Below are 24,966 nucleotides of genomic sequence, written 5' to 3'. Positions count from 1 at the left end.
TCTCTTATCAGTGTCTCCTTTCTAGAATGACATGGGAATAGTAAAAATAGTGTAAAACTTGCGCATTGTCAATAGCAACCAACAGCAGTTCATCATCCATATTTGTCATTGGTGCATATAATCTCCTGTGACTTGGCTCAGCTCTTTCTAAACTCTGAATATTTAAGGCCATATATTTAATCAAACCTGCCTACAGAATACAAGGACCACCAGGAACCCCAGGCAGGGCTATGTGTGCAGGTTTTAAGCCAGTCCACCTTCCATATCTAAGGACGATGAGCATTCCATGTCCAGGAAAGAGTCTATGCCAAACTTGAGTTTCCTAGGAATTAATTTCTTTGTTAATTAGACCTCACGAATACATCAGTCTTTTTTTCCGAAACTGTCTCTTGCTTAAGACACAGCATCCTGTAGGTCACAACAAGAAGAAATCAACCCCTCCCAGACCTTTTCTACTATAGGGAAACCCCTAAAGGTTTTCCTGTCTACCACGAAGTTTTCAATACTGAGACCAAGTTTCATGTAACCTCTAAACAAGAGCTTGTAGAATGTGAGGAAGGGCAGAACTCTGAGTTATTGTATTTTTCTAAAATAGCTGAATAGATTGGACTTTGGGGCTCTCTTAATAATTTAAAGGAGGAAGGATCAGTCATTCTAAAAATTCAAATCCTTTCTCCCTGAGGTCTCTGCTGCAAAAGCAATAGCAACCAATGTGCTAAGAAAAAATAGGCAGAAATATTAAATTTGGTGGTTCAAAAAGACCCCTTCAGAGAGCATGAAAAAAATATTTTCTGGTTCCTAGCAGAATTTGGAGTCAGAAACATAGCTAATTTGAGTGAAGAATCTAGCAGAAATGTCCCATTTCCTAAACTGTATCCCACTGGTTATATTCAAGTTCAGTTAGGTGGCACATGGGTGAACTTAATTTTATTTGAATAGTTATTTATTTTAATGCATATTAACAAAAAATGTAATACACCAAGCTCACGGACTTTATTGTCTTATAATGAAGCTAAATTAGTTTTTAAGTTTGAAAAAGTAATGCATTTATTAGCACCACACTCTAACCCACTGAGCTAACTGGCTACCCGAAAGAAGCAAGGCATTTAAAGAAAATATATTGAGTAAATAATATTATTAGGCACAGTGAGTTTGCAAAAAATGAGAAGGTCTTATTTGGATTGCTAAAGTTAGGAAAATATTGTCTTACGAGGAAAGATAGAGAGAAGAATAGGGGAGACAAGAAGGGGAGGAGAATAAATTCTTTCTGCTGGAGATTAAGGGTCAGGGATTCCCCTTTCCAGGGAGAGGGAAGCAGCATCACCTGCTGCAGCCGCCTGCTGATTCCAGGGAGTCTCTGCGGTCAGCTGTTTCCTCCTTCGTGAGGTCATTCTGGCCTCCAGCCCTTTAGAGCATGGGATGCTCAGTGAGAACAAGACCTTGGAGACAAAAGAAGGAACGACAAAAAGCTCTGAGCACTTAGGACAGCTGTAGATAAATCCCCCCTTACCTTAATGACATCTTCATCGGCAGACTTGCATTCCACAGACTCAGACACATCGACCACAGAACCATCCTCCTGGACCCCCACGACTTTGACAGGAACTGAAACAGGCTTTCCAGTGAGAATGGCAGTGTTCAAAACCTCGGTGTCCTAAACAGGAGAGGAGAGGGCTCAGATCAGCAAACGTGCATACCACAGGGGCGAGCAGGAGAGGGGTGTCCACCAAGCTCCCTACTGCCTTCATTCTCGTTCTGCGATTTAGACAGTTGTCTGAAGGGACAAAGCCACAAAGCTCACACAAAATGGAAGTTTCCAATCGGTGTTTCATCCCAGACTGAGATAATCAAACCTGATGGTTGGTTGGAATGTCTTCCCAGTCCCCAGGTGCAGGGTCATTCTCCCTCTCCCTGACCTCCTCTCCCTTACTCCATCCCCGCCGCCCTCAGTCCCACAGACTCACACATAGCACACGAGTTCCTTTCAGTATTTTTCAAATCTCGGCTCAAGGATCATTTGGGAAGTGAATGCCTATATTCTGGGCTTATTAACATAGTGAACATAGACTTCATTGTGATTTTAAACTAGGAAAGACAACAGCAGAAACAACAGAAGAGCACAAGTTGAACATTACGAACCTCTACACACCCAAGCTGACTGCCACACCCCACCTCCCCGACACCTCCAGAATCTCCAGAGATCTCCCTCCAAACCCAGGTATTTTTAAATGCTGACATGTGCGTTTCTCACTTCTTCTGTTGATTGATCCCCTCAGAGTTCTGTAGGTTCTAATATATGTTCATAGTTTATCTCAGTCTGTCAAATATTTGCCATCCCCACTGCCAACTTCCCTACTCAAGCCATCTTCTCTCAGCTGGACAACCACAATGCCCTCCCCAACTGGTTTCCCTGTGTTCATTCTCTTTACAACAAAATTATCTTTTTGTTTCAATATAATGCAGATTATTTCTTTCCTAGATTATAACTCTTTGAAAGTGTCCTGCTATTCTTAAGATAAAATCCAAACTCATGGACATGGAATGATCTGACCTTCTCACCTTTTACTCTCTCTCCTGCTCCTGTCTTTCTGTCCCTCACCACAGTTGAGCCCATTTACATCCCATCAACAGCATCTACCACAGGGTACTTCCCCTGTACCTGGGTTCTCTGATCTGGAAAACGGGGATAATAAAAACAGCTCCTGTATGGGGACCTTATGAAAATTTAATAAATCAATCAATGTACAAAGCTTAGAACAGAACTGGTACATAATGGGCAACAAGCATGCAATAAATCCAGCTGTTACAGTAAGTTCTCTACAGTATTTGCTCCATGAGTGAATTAAAGAACCACTGAGTAGATTCACAAGGGGACTGTGGCAGAGATGCCACTTCGCACTTGCCTGAAGAGAAAGAGAGTCAACCAGAGAAGATGGTAGACACCTGGGCAACACAGCCCAGCAATGAGAGTTCACCAAACATTCCATAATTGGCCTCACTAGAATGATCCAACTAGATAATTATTTCAGTGTCTCCCAGACTGTATCAGTGAGATCATTACTTGAGTATTGCTTTCACATTTGGAGTCCCTAACCTTAGCTCAGGCACTATGTGGATTCTATAGTCGGCCCCGCACTCTCTATTCCAAACTTGATTGTGAAGGCTTAATAGAGTAAGAGATGGAGTCAACCTTTAATAATAATAATAATAATAATAATAATAATAATAATAATTGCTAAAACTTAGCTATTATGTATGGAACAGGAAATGTTCTATGTGTTTTATATGTCATTACATCCTCATTCAGTTTTCTCAGCTCTCCCAAGGTAGTTACGGATATTATTCCCATTTTATAGATGATTTATTTTTTGTTGATATTAAACCTGCAAATAATAGCTACTTGTTAACAGAAAACATCAACTTTGTAATGAATACCTAAAAACAATAACAACCCAATCTAAGAAATGTGAAAAATTAAGTTTGTTTTTTACATGTGTCCCCTATTCTGGATGAAATTTTAAAGAGATAAATCCAAAAGAACAGAACTGTACTCCATGTTCCTGAGCACTCCCCTCTGCCCGGGGAGCTTAATTCTGTGCACACTTACATATATTTATATTAAAGCACATAGGACTGGAAGCACTGTGGAAGTTGAGATGAGAACTCACCTAGGTGGGGTAATGATATGGAAGTGGGAGTAATCTCATGAATACAAGGAACAGAGATTGTATCATAGTCCCAGAACAAACTGCTAAGTTCAACTCAATCATGCAGCTGAAAAAAAAAAAAATCAGTACAGGTATTTTTTGTGTGTGGTGGGCAGGCATTGATTTTGTCTAATGAGCATCCCTCTTCCTTCCTCTTTAGTGACAATGTTTCATTTTTTTTCTCTCTGTATCACCCGATTCCTGCCATCAGTGAATGTGGACTGGGTGGCGCTGATCCCAGAACACCCAGTCAGACTTCGCAGAAAAGCACATGACCAAAATACAGTCAATCCAGGTATTCCAGCCCTTGGCCCACAAAGACAGATTCAAGTGAAGCCCAAACAAAGAAAATCAGACAAGAGTAGGAGCTAGAAATATTCCTGGGAAAGATTTCCAGGTTCCTGAATCCAACTATACCTGAAGTCTGTTATCTTTGGAAATGTAGGTATACAAAATTAACTGTTTTACTAAAGTTAGTTTGAGTTGGGTTGTCAGTTGCAACTAAAATTCTTAACACATGAGGACAAGTAACAGGCTAGACACTAGGGAAAGAGAAAAGGTTAAACATCAATCTCCACCTTGTAGAAGCTCACAGCCTTCAAAGAAGACATTACAATATATTTCCCAAACTGAGTTTCAAGAAAGGTGACTTTAATTTTTATAATAAATCATAACTGATGCAAACTTATGATTCTATTACACATAACTTTGCAACCATGTTTCCTCCTTCAGCTTTTTCATGGGTAGCTGAGATTTTCATACCTTTTTTATCCTGTTTCCATCAACAGTCTCTCAAAAATCCCAAAGGCAATTCCTACTTACCTAGCACAATGAGAAAGCAATTTAGCATGGTAAATATTACATTGAAATCGTCCCCTGATCCCAGAGATGCTAAAAATTCCTAACCTATCAAAAAACAAAGTATTTTATTCTGCTCTTATTTGTGTGAGTTCTAGGTTTCATGCCTTGAAGCATATTTATAGTCCTTTATGACTATGTGCTTCCATTAATGTTGCACGTTAGGGTGATGTCAGTGAAAATGGCAGTCAAAACATCAGAAAATTCCCTTCTCCTGTCAAGATCAACTTTTTTAACTCTGGAAATAAACCAAAGGTTTATAGGCAACCAGGAGATCATTTATTCAAGAAAAAATGGCTAATTATTGGTAAAAACAGAACTTTGTGCCATTTTAACCTGACCTGCTTAAATCTCACACTTTCTAGTGCTGTAGTATCTTTAAAAAATAACAGCCTACATTGACAGTAAAAACCAGCAGTCTAGAAGCCACTGGAGGGGTCAGGTCAGGGCTGGAGATCTTTCAAAACCTCATTCCCAAATAATAGTCATTTATCGACTTGTCTAATGGTTCCCTGAAAAAACCCACTTGCAAGGTTGTCGGTATTTGGCTTCACTCTCAGTTCACCCAGTATGGAAAGCTCTTTCCCTAGAGATACTTGCCAGGCAACTGTTTGACTTTTAGCTGCCTGAAGCAGTGGATAACAGTTTAATCAAAAAGCTTCAAAGGAAAAGATGAAGAATGAGATGTCCATAGGGTCTTTGAAAGGCTATGACATATTCCTGGGAATCTATAAGATCATAATCATACTTAGGGCTGTGTGCATGCCTAGAGCTGTGCTCATACACAGGAAAGATCAGAGAATAGACCTAAGCTTTCACCTCTGGTTGATTTTGAGGCTCTGTGGAAGAAGGAAGTGAAAGCTAAGGCAGGTGTCAGGTATTTAAAGAAAACTCTGCCTAATCATTGGCTGACCACCAAGCTAACCAAGCAGAGACTTTATAGACTTTACAGAATTAGTTTATAAAAGTCACTAAGCAATCAACAGCTACTACAACAAACAACAAAAACAAACTTGGGGAGGGAAGGAGAATCTGATTCCAAGAGTTGCCACATTATATTATTTTAAATGTCCAGCTTTGAAAAAAAACTTATGAGACATGCAAAAAAGCAAGAAAATATGGTCCATACACAGGACAAAAAGCAATCAAGCAAATTTTCCCTGAGAAAGCTAAGGTATTGGACCTACTACACAAAGATGACAATTATTTTTAATTAAATGTTTTGAATATATTCAAAGAAATAAAATCACATCTAAAGTACTAAAAGAAAGTATGAAAGGCCAGGTGCAGTGGCTCACACCTGTAATCCCAGCACTTTTGGAGGCTGACACAGGTAGATCATGAGGTCAGGAGTTTGAGACCAGCCTGGCCAACATGGTGTAACCCCACCTTTACTAAAAATATAAAAAATTAGCCAGGTGTGGTGCCACCACACCTGTAATCCCAGCTACTTCGGAGGCTAAGGCAGGAGAATTGCTTGAACCCAGGAGGCAGAGATTGCAGTGAGCCGAGATCATGCTATTGCACTCCAGCCTGGGCCACAGAGCGAGACTCTATCTCAAAGAAAAAAAAAAAAGCAAGTATGAGAAAGCTGTCTCACCAAAGAGAGAATATCAATAGATATAAATTATTTTCTTAAATAATCAATTAGAAATTCTAAAGTTGAAAAGTGCAATAGCCGAAATGGAAAATTCACTCATGGGGCTCAACAGCAGATTTGAGCAGACAGAAAAAAAGAATCAGTGAATATAAAGATAGGCTAATTAAAATTAAAATGAGAGGAGTATAAAGAAAATAGAATGAACAAAAATAGTATAAATACAGCATCAGAGATTTCTGTGATGCCATCAAGCATACCAGCATAAGCACAATTGCAGTCCCAGAAGAAAAGGAGGCAGAGAAAAAGGAAGAAACAATATTTGAGTAATTAATGGCAAAGGTGTCCCAGATTTTATTAAAAACATTAATCTGCACGTCCAAGAGTTCAGCGAACTCAAAATAGAATAAACTCAGAGAGATCCGCACCTAGATACATCATAATCAAACTGTCAAATACCAAAATACCATATAATATTGAAAACAGCAAGACAAAAATACCTCATTATATACAAGCAATCTTCAATAAGACTAAGACCTGTTGTATTATCAGAAACTGGAGGCAAAAAGGTAGAAGGATGACACATTCAATGTGGTGGAAGAAAAAAGACTGTCAACCAAGAATTTTATATCCAGAAAACCTGTCTTTCAAAATAAAATGAAGAAATTGTCACAAACCAAGAAAAACAGAAAGTGAGAGAGTTCTTCACTAACAGACTCATCTTCCAAGAAATACCAAAAGAAGACCTCTAGGCTCAAATGAAGGGACACTAGACAGTAACTTAATTACACATGAAGGTATAGAGAGCACCAGTAAATGTAACTACATTGATAAATACAAAAGACAGTACAAACATATTTTTGTTTGGGACATTACATTTCTTCTATCTTATTTAAAGGAGAACTGCATAAAGGAATAATTATAGATGTTTGTTCATGGACACACATCTTGCAGAAAGATGCAATTTGTATGACAAAAACAGACACAAAGATGAATGTTGTATAAAATGAGTCAATCAACAAGAAAATATAACAATTATAAAACAGATGCACCTAACAACAAATCCCCAAAATACATGAGGTCAAAACTGACACAGTTGAAGGAAGAAATAAAAAATCCAACAATAAGAGTTGGAGACTTCAATGTTCCACTTTCAGTAATTAACAGAACAACTAGTCATAAGATCAACAAGGAAAAGGAAGACTTTAACAATACTATAAAGAAACAAGACATAACAGACATCTATAGAACACAGTAGCCAGCAACAGCAGAATACACATTGTTACTGCATTTACATGGAGCATTCTCTAGGACATACCACAGGTCAGGCCATTAAACAAGTCTCAACAAATTTGAAAGGACTGAAATTGTACAAAGTAAATTACCTGATATCAATAGAATGAAATTAGAAAAGGATAGGGTGGAAATTAAGAATATCTGTAAACATTCGGAAATTAAACAATCCTCTTTTAAACAACCAATGTTTCAAAAAATAAATCACAAGAGAAATCAGAAAATACTATGAGATGAGTAAAAATGAAAACACAACATGCCAAAACTTATGAGATGTATTAAAAGTAGTATCTAGAGGGAAATGTATAGCAGTAAATGCCTATATGGGAAAATTTAAATATCTCAAATTAATAACCTAGCCTTCTACCTTAGAGAACTAGAGAAAAAAGAGCAAACTAAACCTAGAACAAGAGCAAGGAAGACAATAATAATAGAGTAGAAAAAATGTTAAGTATAGTTTAATAATAATATAAATATTATATCACATTATTTATATTAAATATTGGTATTTACTATTAAATAATGTTATGTTGAATATTATTAGATATTATATTTCATAATATTTATACATTAATACAAAATAATAAATGACATATAATACAGAAAACCAATGCAATGAAACCAAAAGTAAGTTACTTGGAAAAATTTTAAAGCTGACAAAACTTTAGCCAGACTGATGAGTGGAGCAGTGCAGAGGAGATTCAGATTTCTAAAATAAGGAATTAAAAAGGGGCTCAGTCTTACAGGAAAAAAAATTATAGAGGAATACTAGAGCATATGCCAAAAACTAGATGACCTAGATGAAAAGAGCAAATTCATAAAAAGACAAAAACTACCAAAACTGGCTCAAGAGGAAATTGGAATTTCAATATCTATAACTGATAAAGAGATTGAACTAATAATTTAAAAATAAACTTTCCACAAAGAAAAGCTCAGGACCAGATGGCTTCATTAATAAAGTCTAACAAAAGATTGAAGAAAGAGTAATATTAATTTTTAGAAATTCTTCACAAAATTAGAAGATGAAACAGTTCCCAGCTAATTCTATGAGGCCAGTATTACCCTAATTTAAAAAAAAAAAAAGAAAGGCATCACAGGAAAAGAAAACTACAGGCCAATATCCCTAATGATTATAGATGCCAACCCCACCCCCCTGCCACACACACACGCAAAATACTAGCAAACAAATGCAAGCAACATTTTTTTAAAGGACTAAACACCATAACAAGTGGGAATTATCCCAGGGATGCAGGATTGGTTCAACATATGAAAATTAATCAATGTAATATACCTTAATTATAGAACAAAGGACCAAAATGTATGTCTGGATCATCTCAAGACATGTGAAAAAAAGCATTTGACAAAATCCAACACCTTTTAATGATAAAACTACTCAATAAATTAGGAATTGATGGGAACTTCCTCAACATAATAAAGGCCATCTATGGAGAACATACAGCTAATATCACAGTGGTAAAAGACTGTAAGCTTTCTTAAGATCAGGAACGAGACAAAGATGACTCTCACCACTTCTATCCAGTGTTGTACTGGAGGTTCTAGCCAAGGTAATTGGGGCGGGGTGGGGGGGATTAATTGAAATGAATCCAAACTGGAAATGAAGAAGTAAAACTATACCTATTTGCAGATGACATGATCCCATACCTAGAAAATTCCAGAAATCCACAAGCAAACCATTAAAGCTAATAAAGGAGTTCAGCAAATTTCAGGATACAAGATGAAAATCTAAAACTCAATTTTATCTGTAATGAACAATACATAAATGAAATTAAGAAACTAATTATCTTTATAACAGCATCGAAATTAATACATTACTTGGAAATAAGTTTAATGAAAGTAGTTGGTTAAACTTAAATGTCTCACAAAGTATTGTTGAAAAAATTTTAAAAATACCTAAATAAATAAATAAAATGTATCCTACGTTCATAGATTGGAAAACTTAATATTGTTAAGATGTCAACACTCCCCAAATAAATATATAGATTCAATGTAATTGCTATCAAAATTCCAGCTGCCTTTTTTCCAGAAGTACACAAGCTAGTGTTAAAATTCATATGGAGATGAAAGAGGCAGAATAGCCATAGCAATCTGGATAAATAACAGTTGGAAGGCTCACACTTCCTGATTAGAATTGACTTTCCAGAAATAAATTCTCTCATTTTCAGCAGATTGATTTTCAACAAGGATTTCAAGATAATTCAATGGTGAAAGAATAGTTTTTTCAACAAATGATGCTGGGATAACCGGATATCCACATAAAAAAGAACAAAGTTGGGTCCATACCTCACACCACATTCAAAATTTAATTCAAAATATATCAAAGACATAAATTTAAGCACTCAAACCATTAAACTCTTTAAAGAAAACTTAGGTATAAATCTTCATGACTTCAGACTCAGCAAATATTGCTTAGATATGACACCTAAAGCACAACCAACAAAGAAAAATAGATAAATTGTACTTTATAGAAATTAAAAACATTTGTGCTTCAAGGGATACCACCAAGAAAGTAAAAGGACAATCCACAAATGGGAGAAAATATTTGCAAATAATATATTTGATAAGGGTCTAATGTTTGGAATATATGCAGAAGTATTATACCACACAAAATAGACAAATACCCAAATTAAAAATGAGGGGATAGGATTTGAATAGACATTTTCCAAAAGAAGATATATTAATACAAGTGGCCAATAAACACATGAAAAGATGCTCAACTTCATTAAGGAAATGTAAACCAAAAAGAGATACCACTTCACACTGACTAGGACAACTTTAAATAAAAAGACATAAAATAACAAGTGTTGACTGGCAAGAATGTGTGGAAATTGGAACTCTCATACATTGTCTGTGGGGTGTAAAATTGTGTGACTGCTGTGGAAAAGTTTGGTGCTTCCTCAAAAGGTTAAACAGAGAATTACCATATGACCTAGCAATTCTACTCCTGAATATATATATATATATATATATATATGACAGCTAATAGGTTTGGGATTTCATTGGAGGAGTGATGGAAATATTCTAGAATTAGTGTTGATGGTTGCCAACCCTTGTGGATCAACTGAAAGCCACTGCATAGTGAAAACAAACAAACAAAAGATTCCATGTTATTCTGAATAGTGAGGTAATGCCATATGTCCTGGCATTTCATGTGTTGGGAACATCAGTACAGATATCAGTAGAAAGGCTCATACCACTCCTCAATGTCAGTGATGATTCAGTGTTTTGTGAAAGATGGACAACAATTTTGCCAATGAGAAAAAATTTGGCAGAATATAAACTCCAAGAAGTAGATATAATACAGGGCATCTTCAACACCCTTTTTGACCCGCTGAAGTTTTACCAGGGTGAGCAACAGCCTCATACTCTATGTCCATGAGAAGGATTCTTACATCAGCGAGTGAGCAGCCCTAAATATTGACAGTCTCTCCTTTCCTCTTCTTGTTTCTCAAATGGTCACGATTCCTTACGTGACAATAGTTCTGTTAGCTTCTAATCCGTAGAGTCAGTTGAATCTTAGGGATATCTTAGATCTAGAAAGAACTGAAGAACACATTGCCTTAAAGTACCTTGTTTTACAAAGGAAAGATAGCAGCAACTCCTTCCACGTTGGGAATCTGAAACCCCATTGGACGAGGTGAACTACCCACAGAAAATACAAAGGCAAAAGAGAACATCACAATCTGGTACCACATTTGAGAGAAAAGAATAATAATAGCTCTCATACAAGAGAGCATCTGCTATGTGCTCGGGATTGTGACAAGGGCTTCATATTAATTAATGAGGTTGCTTCTATTATTACTTTCACTTTACAGAGAAGAATGTAGGAAATAAGGAATCTCTGATTGATTTAAAAAAAAAAAAACTGACTGCTCAGTAACTCCACCTATGGGTATCTTTACTGAGAGAGATGCCCAAACAAGGTCATCAGTTCATGAAGGATATTCATCAAAGCATTGTTTCTAATAGGAAAAGATAAAAACTATCTAAATATCCATTAGTTAGGAAATGGCCCAATGAACTTGGTACAGGTCCACAGTATAAAATATTATGTAACAGATAACGTGATGAATTGGACCCTATATTGGTTAAAAAGAAGTTGGAGTACTTCCATTTTCTTAGCTATAAAAAATTTTTTTTCCAAAGAATTCATAAGGATGGCATTAAATAAATAAAATTTCCTCACAAGCACTCTTTTTGAGCACACAGTTTGATTGTATTTTACTGTCCATTTGAATTTGCCAATGAAACACAGGTGGAATTATGTGCTCATTTGAATCAGAAGCTCTAAGAACACAAGACTTCACACTCTCCCTTTCTATGCCATGGTGATGGTGGCTGCTCCATCATCCTGGCTCCCAAAGTGACCCAGAGCAAAATTCTCCAACTGATCTGTGTCAGACAGGCAGTGTGAGCACAAATAAACCTCTGTTGCTTTAAGCTATTAAAATTTAGGAGTCACAAGTAACTTTCGGCACATTATTTTGACTATGTACTCTCAGGCTAAAGATAAAAATAACTGTAAACACAGATTGAATTCTAGTTAGGTTTGTTTTCCACAGCAGTATGGGTTAGCAATTCTAAAACTGCTTTAGTATTCTAGGATTGAGCAAACAATATGTGTTGGGTAATGAGAGCCAGGATTCTCACTGCTAGAAAATTGAGTTTAAAAATGGAAAGGAGAAGGAGTTAGAGTGAACTCTGCAATCATGAACTGGGATGGGAAGTACCATCACAAAATCACAGGAGCAGGGACATACATGTGTCTACCTATGTATAACGTAGGTGTGTATATATGTACACATGTATATAGTTTTTTCCTAGTTCTGTTCACTGAGAGGGCTTAGATATAACACCCCTTTAGCAATCAGCACACCTAGTACCCAGAATGGAGCTCTAAAAACCAGTCTCCAATAAAAGAAAACAGAGCTCCTTAGAGAAATGGCTGATTTAAGTGCCAAGACAAAGAAAGTACAAGAACATGAGCCTGATATATCCTGTAGAGGCAGAAAGTAACAAAGTGCTCAAAAAAAATGTCAAAAGGACACAAGAGGCAGAGTGAAGGGGCACCCACTTCCAGTTTGGGACAATTTTAGCATCACAGTAAATAATCACAGTAGTCAATTATAATCTGTAGAATAAAATAAGCTTCTGAGTCCATATTGTCATAAACAAACAGTGAAGAAAGGAAGATTGATTCTTAGAGTAGAATTCCAGCTAATAAATATCAAAAGGAATGATGAAGCTAGAATATCACCACCTGGCAATCACTATTTATTACTATAATTGTTTCAGGCAAGAATCATTAATGGGCTCTACTACTGATTGAAAGGATGATAAGAAACAGGACATTTTCATAGTGCCAAAGTATCTCTGTGAAAGAAACATTAACTTCAAAGGGAAAACAGTAACTTTATGGTGTCTAAACCTAGCATATACCACCTGTCTTGGTCCATTTTGTGCTGCTATAACAGAATGCCACAGACTGGGTAATTTATAAAGAACAAAATTTTTTCCTCACTGTGATAGAAGCTGGGAAGTCTAAGATCAAGGCATCAGCATCTGGTGAGGGCTGCCCTCTGCTTCCAAGATGGTGCCTTGAACGGCGTAGCCTCTGGAGAGGATTGCAGAAGGCAGAGGGCAAAAAGGAATGAACTTCTTGGTCAATCCCTTTTATAACAGCATTAATTCATCCATGAGGGCAGAGCCCTAATGACATAAACACCTCCCAAAAGGCTTCAGCTCCCAGTGCTGTTGCATTCAGGATTAAGTTTCCAACGCATGGATTTTGGGAGACACACACAGACCATAGCACCCTGTTTTCCATGTGATCAAAGACAACATCACTAGCAATGGGATAAATATGCATTGTATGTCCTGAAAAGGAGATAGCATCACTTCTGGACTGTTTTCGACAAAAATCATGTAAACTGAATCTAATAATAAGGAAATATCAGACAAAACCCAATATGGCACATTTTGTCCATTTCAAATATGTCACAGCCTAAAAGACAAAGACTAGGAAACTGTTCCAGATTAAAGGACACAACAAATGCAATGTGTGATCCTGAATTGAATCCTCAAACAGAAAAATGTATTTTTCTTTTGCTATAAAGGATATTAGTGCAATAATAGATAAAATTTGAATATGGTCTGGGAACAAGATAACACTTTGCATTGACATTCATTTCCTGATACTGACATTTCACTCTACTTACGTAAGAGTTTTGAGGAAATTTACACAAACCTATTTACAGAAAAAGGATCATCATGTGTGTAACTTACTCTCAAGCAGTTCATTAAAATAACAACAATGTGTCTTTGTGTTGAAAGAGAGAATATGCACATTTGGGGGATTTTAGTGAAGGTATTTGGGAAACACATTTGTTCAGACTCAAAGATATAACCAAGAGAACAGGCAACAGAGATGAATCAATAAATAAATGCATAAAGATGCAGGATGTGGTAAGTGCCTAACAAACATAATTAGTGACAACTAATTTTTCTTAAACACTTAGATAAGTTCCAGGCACTGTGCCAAGTTATTTACATGCATTATTTGTTAATAATAATGCATATTTATAACAATAAACTACAATAGGTATCAACATTTGATAACCAACAAAGTGCCCAACAACAGTGCCTGGTATATTGTAAGTACCTGATAAACACTAACTGGTCTTATTAACATCTTATTTAATCCTCAAGCATCCCTACTGAAGCATTACTATTTTTATCCTCATTTTACAAATGAGGGAACTGAAGCTGAAAGATTCCATGATTTGGCCAGAATCACTCCGCTGCTAAGCTGCAGAGCCAGGATGGGAGCAAAAACATTTGACACCAGAGTCCCCGATCCCGGCTGCTGCGCTGGGTCTCCTCTCAGCTCCTCACTTGGAAAACAAACCTAACAATCGCATTTCTTTTCCCAGCTCAAAAGAAAGCTTTCAGCCTAAAAGATAGCTTTATACAGATTTTTTAATTTGAAATGTTTAAAAATATATTTTATAGATACAAAACTTAGTTTTTAGTAGAAACAGCTAAGTAGCCACAAAGGCCCAAGTCACAACCACGTGTGACTTCCAGTGTGTTCCACTCCAGCTGCTCTTCCAGCCTGTGAGGTTCTGGCCCACAACCCCAAGGCCTGGCCACCTACACTCTTTGATCCCTAGCACAGAAATGTCAGCCTCTGAGTAGGAATCTAATTCTGACCACATTGGGCCCTCAGACACCTTGACTTCTGATTTTTAAAATCGCAAGGCAGATGTAAATTTCACTCAGAGATAAGCAAGGATGTTGGCTCCAATTTAAATACTGATTTTTCAATCCCACTGTTGTGTATTATATAACGCTGAAATCAGCCAGCTCCCCCAACTTGATGGCTATTTTTAGACTCGGATCATTTATTATCTACGAGGCAGAAAGTGATTTCAAAATTCAGCTCTTTCTGAGTCTCTGAATAACACAAAGAAAATTATTTCAAATAGGATAGCACTCAGAGACAGAGCAATAAAATGTGACTCTGTTAAGGACCGACCTGTGTCTCCCAGGTGGTGACAACAGATGGAAGAAGCAAAGGCTGTTGGGGATGAGCTTTATCCAGTGCCCAGGTAAGTTCATTAACCAGTAACTAAGAGCAGTGAGGTGGTAAGTGCTGCTTAACTGACACGATTGAGGGTCACTCACAGGGAAGATGGTCATGCAGTAGGCCTTACAGGCAAGTTTACCTCACAGGGAAGGAGGAACAACAGTTCCTCCACTGCTGAAACAACAGACTACAAATACGTAAGGCCCTACAGCTCTCAGTACATATGGAGGTTCTACAAGAAATGGAAACTCAACCCATTAAAGTCACTAGACTGCAAACTTCTTGGGGACAAGGACCAGGTTTCTTTTTTCCCATTGGCTCGCATACTGCCCGGGGTGGAGTAGGATCTCAAACGTAGCCGAATGCAGGTAAAACCATTCAATAGTGACATAAGGAGCATCTTCTGGAAAACTTCCTTCCCTTCCCCCCCAACACTATCATAATAGTGACAAGGCTCCATGTCACTGCTTTATGCAAAATGGCCTCCCACTTCAAGTCACCATGGATTGGTCCAGATATGAGTAATGAACCATGCTGAACCAATGAGCCCTTTCTGTAAAGAATTTGGAATGAAAATGAAGAGATTCCAGCCTCTGACGCCTCTCCAGAAAGTAAGGAATATAAACTAAGAAGCAGTTGTTGGCCATTTTCTGCCAGGAGAGTGGCAAGCAGAGAGATGGGGGGGTTGGTCAAGCTTCCTAAGGAGCTCCCGTGCTGGTTCCAGTTCATTCCTTGTGCCCCGCTCCTTCCCTGCCCTTGGATTCCAGGATGTGTCCTCAACATTAATTCTCCTTTATGCTTTCATTGGCCCTAGTTGGTTTCTGTTACCACCAGAAGAGTCTTAACCAAGAGCTCTAAAAATATCCATGTCCCCTGCATCCTAAGTCCCATAGGGAAGGTAAGTGGGACACTGATAAAAGTAGCCCATGGTAAAAAGGACATCCTCAGCTGCACAAATGTTTCACCTTACCAGCTGCGGATGGACACCAGATCTTAAGCCCATCCCTCAAGGAACCTGCAACTAAGTGCTAAGAGGGCATCCGAGGCCACTGTGACGGGCACTGAACTCAGAGTCAAAAGTCCTGGATGCTGCTACCAATTTCCTAGGTGACCCTGGGCCAGCAATAATCTTTTCTGTAAGGTGGGGCGATAATATCCAGCATACCAGCTTCCTGGGGATAGGAAGATGCTTTGGGGAAGCAATGGTGATACTGCTGAGTGACTGGGGGAAATGCCAGCTTGGGAACCCCCAGTAGAGCTGGGGCATAACACAAATGCCCACAAAAGCCAAGCAGGCAACGGACATGAGCAGAGCAGCCCAGATAGACACTGAGACAGAAAGAGCAATGCCCAGAGCAGCTACTGTCATTACCCCACTTTACAGAAGAGGAAACTGAGCCTCTTGAGGTCACCCACCAAGTTAGCTGCTGAGCTGGGACTCGCCCAACCCCAAAACACATGCTCTTGACCGCTGCCCCAGAGAACTGGGTGGGAATCACACTGCAAAAGGATACAATTGCTGTGGTCATCGAGGTCAGAGATAAAGTGTGATTGTTTTTACTCTGCTGGTACCAGAGTAGAATTGTACCACGTCATAGTAAATTTTGCATTTAGCAAGAGACCCACATAAAGGGCAAATAATTAATCAAAGTAAATGTGGTCACTCAAATCATGACCAGCTACACACCCGCTTCTTTAGGATATGCAACAAATGGAAGCCATTGTGACCTACAAAGTGAGTGGTAAAAGCTCTGAAATTAGTATTGGATATTTAAACAAGAACCATCAAAAGAGCCAGAGGGGGGAAGAAAGGTATGCGACACTTGAGGAGATTCTATCCATGGCTCAGTCTCTGTATCTGACAGAATATAAGGCGGCAGAGTGAGGCTGTGATGATCTGTTAGCACTCAGCACCCCAGTCTCCATCTGACGAGGCTGATAAGGGCTGACCTTGAGAGCGGGAGTCTATCAGGCATTGCATGGGGGAAAACCTCTGGCTCTGGGCCAAAGGGGAGTGGCTGAAGATTCATGGAGAGACCCCCTCCTCCCAGTGAGAAGAAGACAAGGAAGAAGTGCTGGAGGGGATGGATACCCCATTTACCTTGATGTGATTATTATGCATTGCATGCCTGTATCAAAACATCTCATGTACCCCATAAATATATATGCCTACTATGTGCTCACAAAAATTAAAAGTAAAAAAAGAAAAGGGAAGAGGGAGAATGAGACAGAGAGACAGATACACAGACAAAAGCAGAGAGCCCACAGCTTACATGCAACACAGAGAAACAGACTGAGACAGAAGACAAAACACACATGTTTAAACAAAGCTAGACAGAGAGAATGAGATGAGTTAGAAAGATGGGGTGCTGGAGCTTAGAGACAGAGAAAGCCAGAGTTATAGACACAATGAGAGGGTCAGGGAGAGAGACAGACGCACGCAAGGTTAGACCCTGGGCTGGCTCCGAGGTGTCCTTCCTCCCTTTGCCTCTACCAACCCAGGTGGGCCCTGTTCATTCACACATCCCAGCTCCAGCGCTGAGTAATAATTACGTGTGTATTCTCTAATTCCTTGCACCACCTATTATACTAGCACTCCTTCAATTAGAACTGTAACCTGTTAAAAACATTTCTTTGTTGCCTGGGGGAAAAAAAAAAGTCTTCTCATCCAGCTTGAGCTACATTAAAATTTCACACAGCTTCTGGCTGTCACAGGACCGGCAAGCAAATGGCACCTGTTCAGTTAAAACCTAAAACTGAGTGGATGGCATTACGGAGAGAAATGGTCGAGGAAGCACTTAGCTCTATCAAAACCCAAGCCTGAACTCATAACTTTATTTAAATATGAATAAGCCTTCCTGTATCATTCCTGTGAGCTGACTGGTGCCTTGGTGACTGCAGTGAGCAGGAAGAGCCTTGGCTGGAGGCTCCGTTGGTCCCCAGTCCTTTGGTTAGGCCCCATGGACCGATGGATGAAGCGGGGAGGGAAAGAGATGTGTGGGGCAGGGGTCAGAGCAAGAAGGAGATGAGGAAGGAGAAAGGAAGGGAGACAGGAAAAGGGAAAGAGGGGAGAGAGCATAGGGTCCTAAAGAGAGAGAAAGAGACACAGATATACAGATAGAGACATTAGACAGCTCTATAGACAGAGAATGACAGCGAGAGAGAGATATAGAGAAAGACAGGTGGGGTGAGACAAATTGAGAAAAGGGCAGAGGGCCATGGACAAATGGAGGGAGACAAACAATGAGAACTAGCAAGTCAGCCAAGTGAAAGCAGGCTGTGGTTGTCAGCCAAAAAGACAGCCGGCTGCAGTAGCTCATGCCTGTAATCCCAGCACTTTGGGAGGCCAAGGCGGGCAGATCACCTGAGGTTAGTCATTCAAGACCAGCCTGGCCTACATGGTGAAACCCCATCTCTACTAAAAAATACAAAAATTAGCCGGTGTGGTGGTGGGCACCTGTAATCCCAGCTATTCTGGAGGCTGAGGCAGGAGAATTGCTTGAGCCCAGAAGGTGGAGGTTGCAGTGAGCTGAGACCGCACCACTGCACTCCAGCATGGGCGACAGTGCAAGACTCCATCTAAAAAAAAAAAAAAAAAAAAAAAAAAAGAAGAAGAAGAGGAAGAAGAAGGAGGAGAAGGAGGAGGAATCGAGAAAGAGAGAATGAAAAAAGACTTAGATCTTGCATGCCACAGAGATTTCCATTAAAACAAACCAAAGTGCCTCTCTGTGCCCACAGTGGGACCTGCCATTCCAATCCAGCCCTATCAACTGTGGCATCTGGCAACTGTTTCTCTAAAACTGATTGAGCCAGCCCCTGCACAAAGCATCACATTTGGTGCTAAACGCTGAACAGAATGCCCCTCAGAACAGATCCCCACAGGGAACTCTCAACCCCGCCACGTCCACTGAGGCTTCCTGGTGAGACTTGGTACATCTAAGAAGATTTTTCCAGCAAATGCTCGAAATGTTGTTGGGTATACGAGTGAAAATCAACAAAAATCAGAAAACATTTAAGATGTGTGAGCACTATTTATGTCTTACGTATTTTTATTCATTCAATACTCATAACAAATCTATGAGGAGGAAACCCTTACTATCTGCATTTTACAGGAAACAGAATAAGAAATTAGACCTCATTTTCCAATTGTCCGGGACTATACCCCCAATATCTGCAATTCAATAAATATTTGTTCAGAGGAAACAAAAGGGAAGTGAAGGAGAAGGGAATTTATGTGGGTTCATTTACCAATGCAAGCATTGTACCACTACCACTAATCCTATTTAGTGAAGAAACACAGGTACTAAAGGTTTTGGTCATTTTCTCATGGTGCAGAACTGGTAAGTAGCATATATTATTTTGGGGTAGATAAAACTTACACAATTTCCCTAAGTAGCCATAGGTTTCAAACCTTCCTCACAGCACTCCTGCTGCCTAGAAGAGCCAACAACATGGTGCAATGGCTCATGGCTGTGATATGAACAAGAAACAGGGAAATACTGGGTAGAAGAGGGCAGATCCCTGGCAAAGGCCCCACCCTCAAGCCTGGAAACACACAGCCCTAAATAAGAACAGGCATTCCTTTTTTCACACCCAAAAGTTGCCTTTTAGCCTTCCATGCCCCCCTGTCCTGTACTCATATAAACCCCAAACCCCTGGCTCCAGGAAGAGATGAACAAAAGAGGAGAAGAATAGCATAATAGTGCAGCAGAGAAAAGAGAAGAAGCATCTGTGTGCCGAGAGGAGTTCAGCTGGGGGCAGTCGGAGAGGACATCGGCCACTGGACAGCCAAACTCCATGGGAAGATCTTCTTCCCACTCCATCCCCCTTCCAGCTCCCCACCCATCCTGCTGAGAGCCACTTTCACCACTCAATAAAACCCTCACATTCACCCTTCAAGTCCATGTGTGACCTGATTCTTCCTGGATACTGGACAAGCACCTGGGTACCAAGGGGACATTGAGCTGGTTAACACTTAAGCCATCACAGATGGCAAGGCTAAAGAGCACACTGTAGCATACGCACACTTGGGCTTCAGGAGTCACAGGTCCCACCCCTGGATGCTGCTGTGGGGCCGGAGCCCAGAGGCACTTGCCCCAGCTCCTGCACCTGCCCATCTGCATGTATCCCCTCCCACACAGGGTTTGAGCATGCATGGCAGCTCAACAGACAAGCCACGATTCTGTCTCGCATCCTGCAAGGCGGGTCAGGGAACTCTCCTGTTTCAGCTGGACTTGGGGTGGGGGTAAAGCCTCAGGTGCAAATCCTGCTCGGTCACTTCAGAAGTCATTTAAGCTCCCTCTGACTTACTTTCTTTATCTGTAGAGGGTGATCACAACTGTACCCATGCCTCAAGAAGTCAGGAGTATTAATTAAGGCAATGCACTTAAAACACTTGGAACAATGCCTGGCCCCAAAGAACGTGCTCAAAAAAGGTTAGTTACTGGTTGTATTCCTCCTCCTCCCACCTCAGTTTTTCATGGAAAACCCCTACTCATCCTTCACACCTCCCACACAACATTGTTTCACAGTCAGAATCAACCGCTTCCTCAAATATGCCCCATAACACTCTGTAAACGCCCCCTCTTAGCATATGCTAGCAGGGTTTGCGTGGCTGTCTCTCAGATATGTTTGTGTTTGTGCTTTTGAATGCCTGGGTTCTAGCACAAGTCTGGGAATATGAAGAACATTTGAACAAATTAGTAAAGACCAACATATTATAGAACCCGCTAAAACTACACAGGAAAGTGGTAAGTGCTGGTGAATTAGGAGGAGGAAAAAACAAGAGGCACATCCTTGAAAAGAAAAGATCGAAATAGTTCCTTAAGCCCTTCAATCCTGGACCTATCCTATTCCCCTTAAATACAAAACTCACCACAGAAGAGCTTGTCTAATTAAGAAGCTTTCACGAACAATCTGTCTTATGGACAGAAGAGAAGCCTGCACATCCTTCTGAGAAAACCGAACAGAAAACAACCCTTTTCCCACTCAGTGCATCTTAGAATTTCTATCTCAAGAAAATGCTGAAAGGAGGAAGCAAGGAGCAGAACTCTATGAAAATTACATCCTATTCTCTATTTTTTCACACTGAACGCACCAAGAGCAAATGTGTTATGTCAGTATTGAAGCCATTCTTCCAATCCGTGTGATAAATTATTCAACATCGTTTCCTTAATATACATAAGCATTGATTAATATATAAAATAAGCAATTTGCTATTTTATTATCATTCAAAGTAACCGCTGTGTTGCCCTCGCTCTCATGAATAGTGTTTCAGGACTCAAATTAATGAAACTGCTGGCTGCAAATCTATTTTTGTCTTCACAGCTGTATTATATCAAATCTAGCCGTACCCTTTCTTTGCCTAAGTCTTCAAACACGTGAGTGGGCTTGTATTAGTTTCCCAGGGACGCCTTAACAAATTACTGCAAACTTGGTGGCTTAAAACAATGGAAATTTATTCTCTCACAGTTTTGCAGGCCAGAAGTCTGAAATCAGGGTGTCAGCAGGGCCACACTTCCTCCAACGGCTCCAGGGAGGAAAGCTCTCTTGCCTCTTTCAGCTTCTAGTGGCTCCAGGAGTTCCTTGGCTTCTGGTAGCATAACTTTCATCTCAAGGTGCCTGCATCTTCACATGGCCTTCTTCTCTGTATTTCTCCTTTGTGTGTGTGTCTTAAGCCCCCTCTCCTTTTTTCTGATAAGAACATCAATTATTGGATTTAGGTACCACCATAAATGCAGGATGACCTCTTCTCGGGATTCTTATTCACTTTTCAAAGGGCCTATGGGAACACCTCACTTGGCTTCACCTTATTGCACCTCACAGATACTGTGGGGTTTTTTTTTGTTTGTTTGTTTGTTTGTTTGTTTGTTTGTTTTTGAGACAGAGTCTCGCTCTGATGCCAGGCTGGAGTGCAGTGGTGCGATCTCAGCTCACTGCAACCTCTGCCTCCCGGATTCAAGCAATTCTCCTGCCTCAGCAGTTAATTTTTGTATTTTTAGTAGAGACAGGGTTTCACCGTGTTGGCCAGGTTAGTCTCGATCTCTTGACCTCGTGATCCGCCCACCTCAGCCTCCCAAAGTGCTGGGATTACAGGCGTGAGCCACCGCGCCCGGCCAGATACTGCGTTCTTTACAAATTGAAGGTTTCTGGCAACTCTTCATCGAGCAAGTCTATTAGCACCATTTTTCCAGCAGCATGTGCTCACTTAAGTCTCTGTCACATTTTGGTAATTCCCAAAATTATTTCAAACTTTTATTATTATTATTATTATTATTATTATTATTATTATTATTACGCATTATGGTGACCTGTGATCACTGATCTTTGATGTTCCCATTGTAATTCTTTTGAGGGTGCCACAAACGATGCCTATGTGAGATGCAAACTTAACAGTGTGTGTGTTCTGACTGCTCCACTGACCAGCCATTCCCCTGTCTCTCTCCCTCTCCTTCGGCCTCCCTATTCCCTGAGAAGAGACATGCAATATTGAAATTAAGTCTGTTAGTAACCCTAATATATTAGTCTGGTATCACGCTGCTGATAAAGACATACCCAAGACTGGGTAATTTATAACAAAACTCACAGTTTCATGTGGCTGGAGAGACCTCACCACCGTGGCATAAGGTGAAAGGCATGTCTTACATGGCAGCAGGAAAAGAGGGAAAATGAGAACTAAGAAAAGGGGTTTCCCCTTATAGAACCATCAGATCTCATGAGACTTATTCACTACCATGAGAATAGTATGGGGTAGTGATTCAATTACCTCCCACCAGATCCCTCCCACAACATGTGGGGGTTATGAGAGCTACAATTCAAGATGAGATTTGGGTGGGGACACAGCCAAACCATATCACCTACAATGGCCTCTAAGTGTTTAAGTGAACGGAAGAGTCCCACATCTCTCACTTTAAATCAAAAGCTAGAAATGATTAAGCTTCATGAGGAATGCATGTCAAAAGCAGAGAGGCCAAAAGAGAGGCCTTTGGCACCAAACAGCCAAGTTGTGAATGCCAAGGAAAAGTTTCTGAAGGGAATCAGAAGTGCTAACTCCAGTATACACACAAATGGTAAGAAAACAAAACATCCTTAATCCCCATATTCTCTTATGTGGAGAAAATGTCAGTGGTCTGGATAGAAGTTTGAACCAGCCACAACATTCCCTTCAGCCAAAGCCTAATTCCAAGGTCCTATCTCTCTTCAATTCTGTGACAGCTTAGAGAGGTGAGGAAGCTGCAGAAAAAAAGCTGGAGGCTATCAGAGGTTGGTTCATAAGGCTTAAGTCAATAAACTGTCTTTGTAACATAAAAGTACAAGGTGAAGCAGTGAGTGGTGATGGAGAAGCTGTAGCAAGTTATTCAGAAGATCTAGCTAAGATCTTTGAAGATGGCTATACTTAAACAACAGATCTTCCATGTAGATGAAACACTTCCATCTTCTTATATTGGAAGAAGATACTATCTAGGATCGCTAGAGAAGAGAAGCCAATGCCTGGCTTCAAAGCTTCACAGGATAGGCTGACTCTCTTGTTTAATGCTGCTGGTGACTTTAAGTTGAAGCCAGTGCTCATTTACCATTCCCCAAATCCTAGAGCCCTTAAGAATAATGCTAAATCTACTTTACCTGTACTCTAGAAATGAAACAACAAAGCCCGGATGATAGCCCCTCTGTTTATAGCATGGTTTACTGAATATTTCAACCACATAGTTGAGACCTACTGTTCAGGAAAAAAAAAAAAAGATTCCTCTAAAACTATTACTGCTTATTGATAACGCACAGTCACTTAAGAGCTCAGATGGAGATATAAGGAGATTGTTTTCATGCCTGATAACACAACATCCATTCAGCATCCCATTGATCAAGGAGTAATTTTGGCTTTCAGGTCTTATTATTTAAAAAATGCATTTCTTTTTTTAATTTTTTTATTATACCTTAAGTTCTGGGATACATGTGCAGAACGTGCAGGTTTGTTACAAAGGTATACACGTGCCATGGTGGTTTGCTGTAGCCATCAACTCATTACCTACGTTAGGTATTTATCCTAATGCTATCCCTCCCCTAGCCCCCTACCCCCTGACAGGCCCCGGTGTGTGATGTTCCCCTCCCTATGTCCATGTGTTCTCATTGTTCAGCTCCCATTATGAGTGAGAACATGCGGTGTTTGGTTTTCTGTTCTTGTGTTAGTTTGCTGAGAATGATGGTTTCTAGCTTCATCCACGTCCCTGCAAAGCACATGAACTCATCCTTTTTCATGGCTGCATAGTATTCCATGGTGTATATGTGCCACATTTTCTTTATCCAGTTTATCATTGATGGACATTTGGGTTGGTTTCAAGCCTTTGCTATTGTGAATAGTGCCGCAATAAACATATGTGTGCATGTGTCTTTATAGTAGAATGATTTATAATCCTTTGGGTATATAACTGGTAATGCGATCACTGGGTCAAATGATATTTCTAGTTCTAGATCCTTGAGGAATTGCCACACTGTCTTCCACAATGGTTGAACTAATCTACACTCTCACCAACAGTGCAAAAGCGTTCCTATTTCTCCACATCCTCTCCAGCATCTGTTGTTTCCTGACTTTTTTTTTTTTTTTTTTTTTTTTTTTTTGAGACAGAGTCTCGCTCTGTCACCCAGGCCGGACTGCGGACTGCAGTGGCGCAATCTTGGCTCACTGCAAGCTCCGCTTCCCTGGTTCACGCCATTGTCCTGCCTCAGCCTCCCGAGTAGCTGGGACTACAGGCACCCGCCACCGCGCCCGGCTAATTTTTTGTATTTTTTTTAGTAGAGACGGGGTTTCACCTTATTAGCCAGGATGGTCTCGATCTCCTGACCTCATGATCCACCCGCCTCGGCCTCCCAAAGTGCTGGGATTACAGGCGTGAGCCACCGCGCCCGGCCTT

At 40.0% G+C, this 24,966-nt stretch overlaps 1 protein-coding gene across 9 annotated transcripts in view; it reads right to left on the bottom strand.

The window, feature by feature from the left end:
* The window catches only part of TMEM132B (transmembrane protein 132B), a 475,992-nt gene that overhangs the window by 76,873 nt on the left and 374,153 nt on the right, over positions 1-24,966 (bottom strand). For all 9 annotated transcript variants that reach the window (NM_001366854.1, XM_047428243.1, XM_047428241.1 and 6 more), the window contains one exon: positions 1,511-1,654. In NM_001366854.1, the coding sequence (NP_001353783.1) occupies positions 1,511-1,654 (144 nt within the window). The remainder of the gene's footprint in view (positions 1-1,510; positions 1,655-24,966) is intronic.

Source organism: Homo sapiens, chromosome 12 (assembly GCF_000001405.40).
Source record: "Homo sapiens chromosome 12, GRCh38.p14 Primary Assembly".
Lineage (NCBI taxonomy): Eukaryota > Metazoa > Chordata > Mammalia > Primates > Hominidae > Homo > Homo sapiens.
This window is presented reverse-complemented; position numbering and strand designations above follow the sequence as displayed.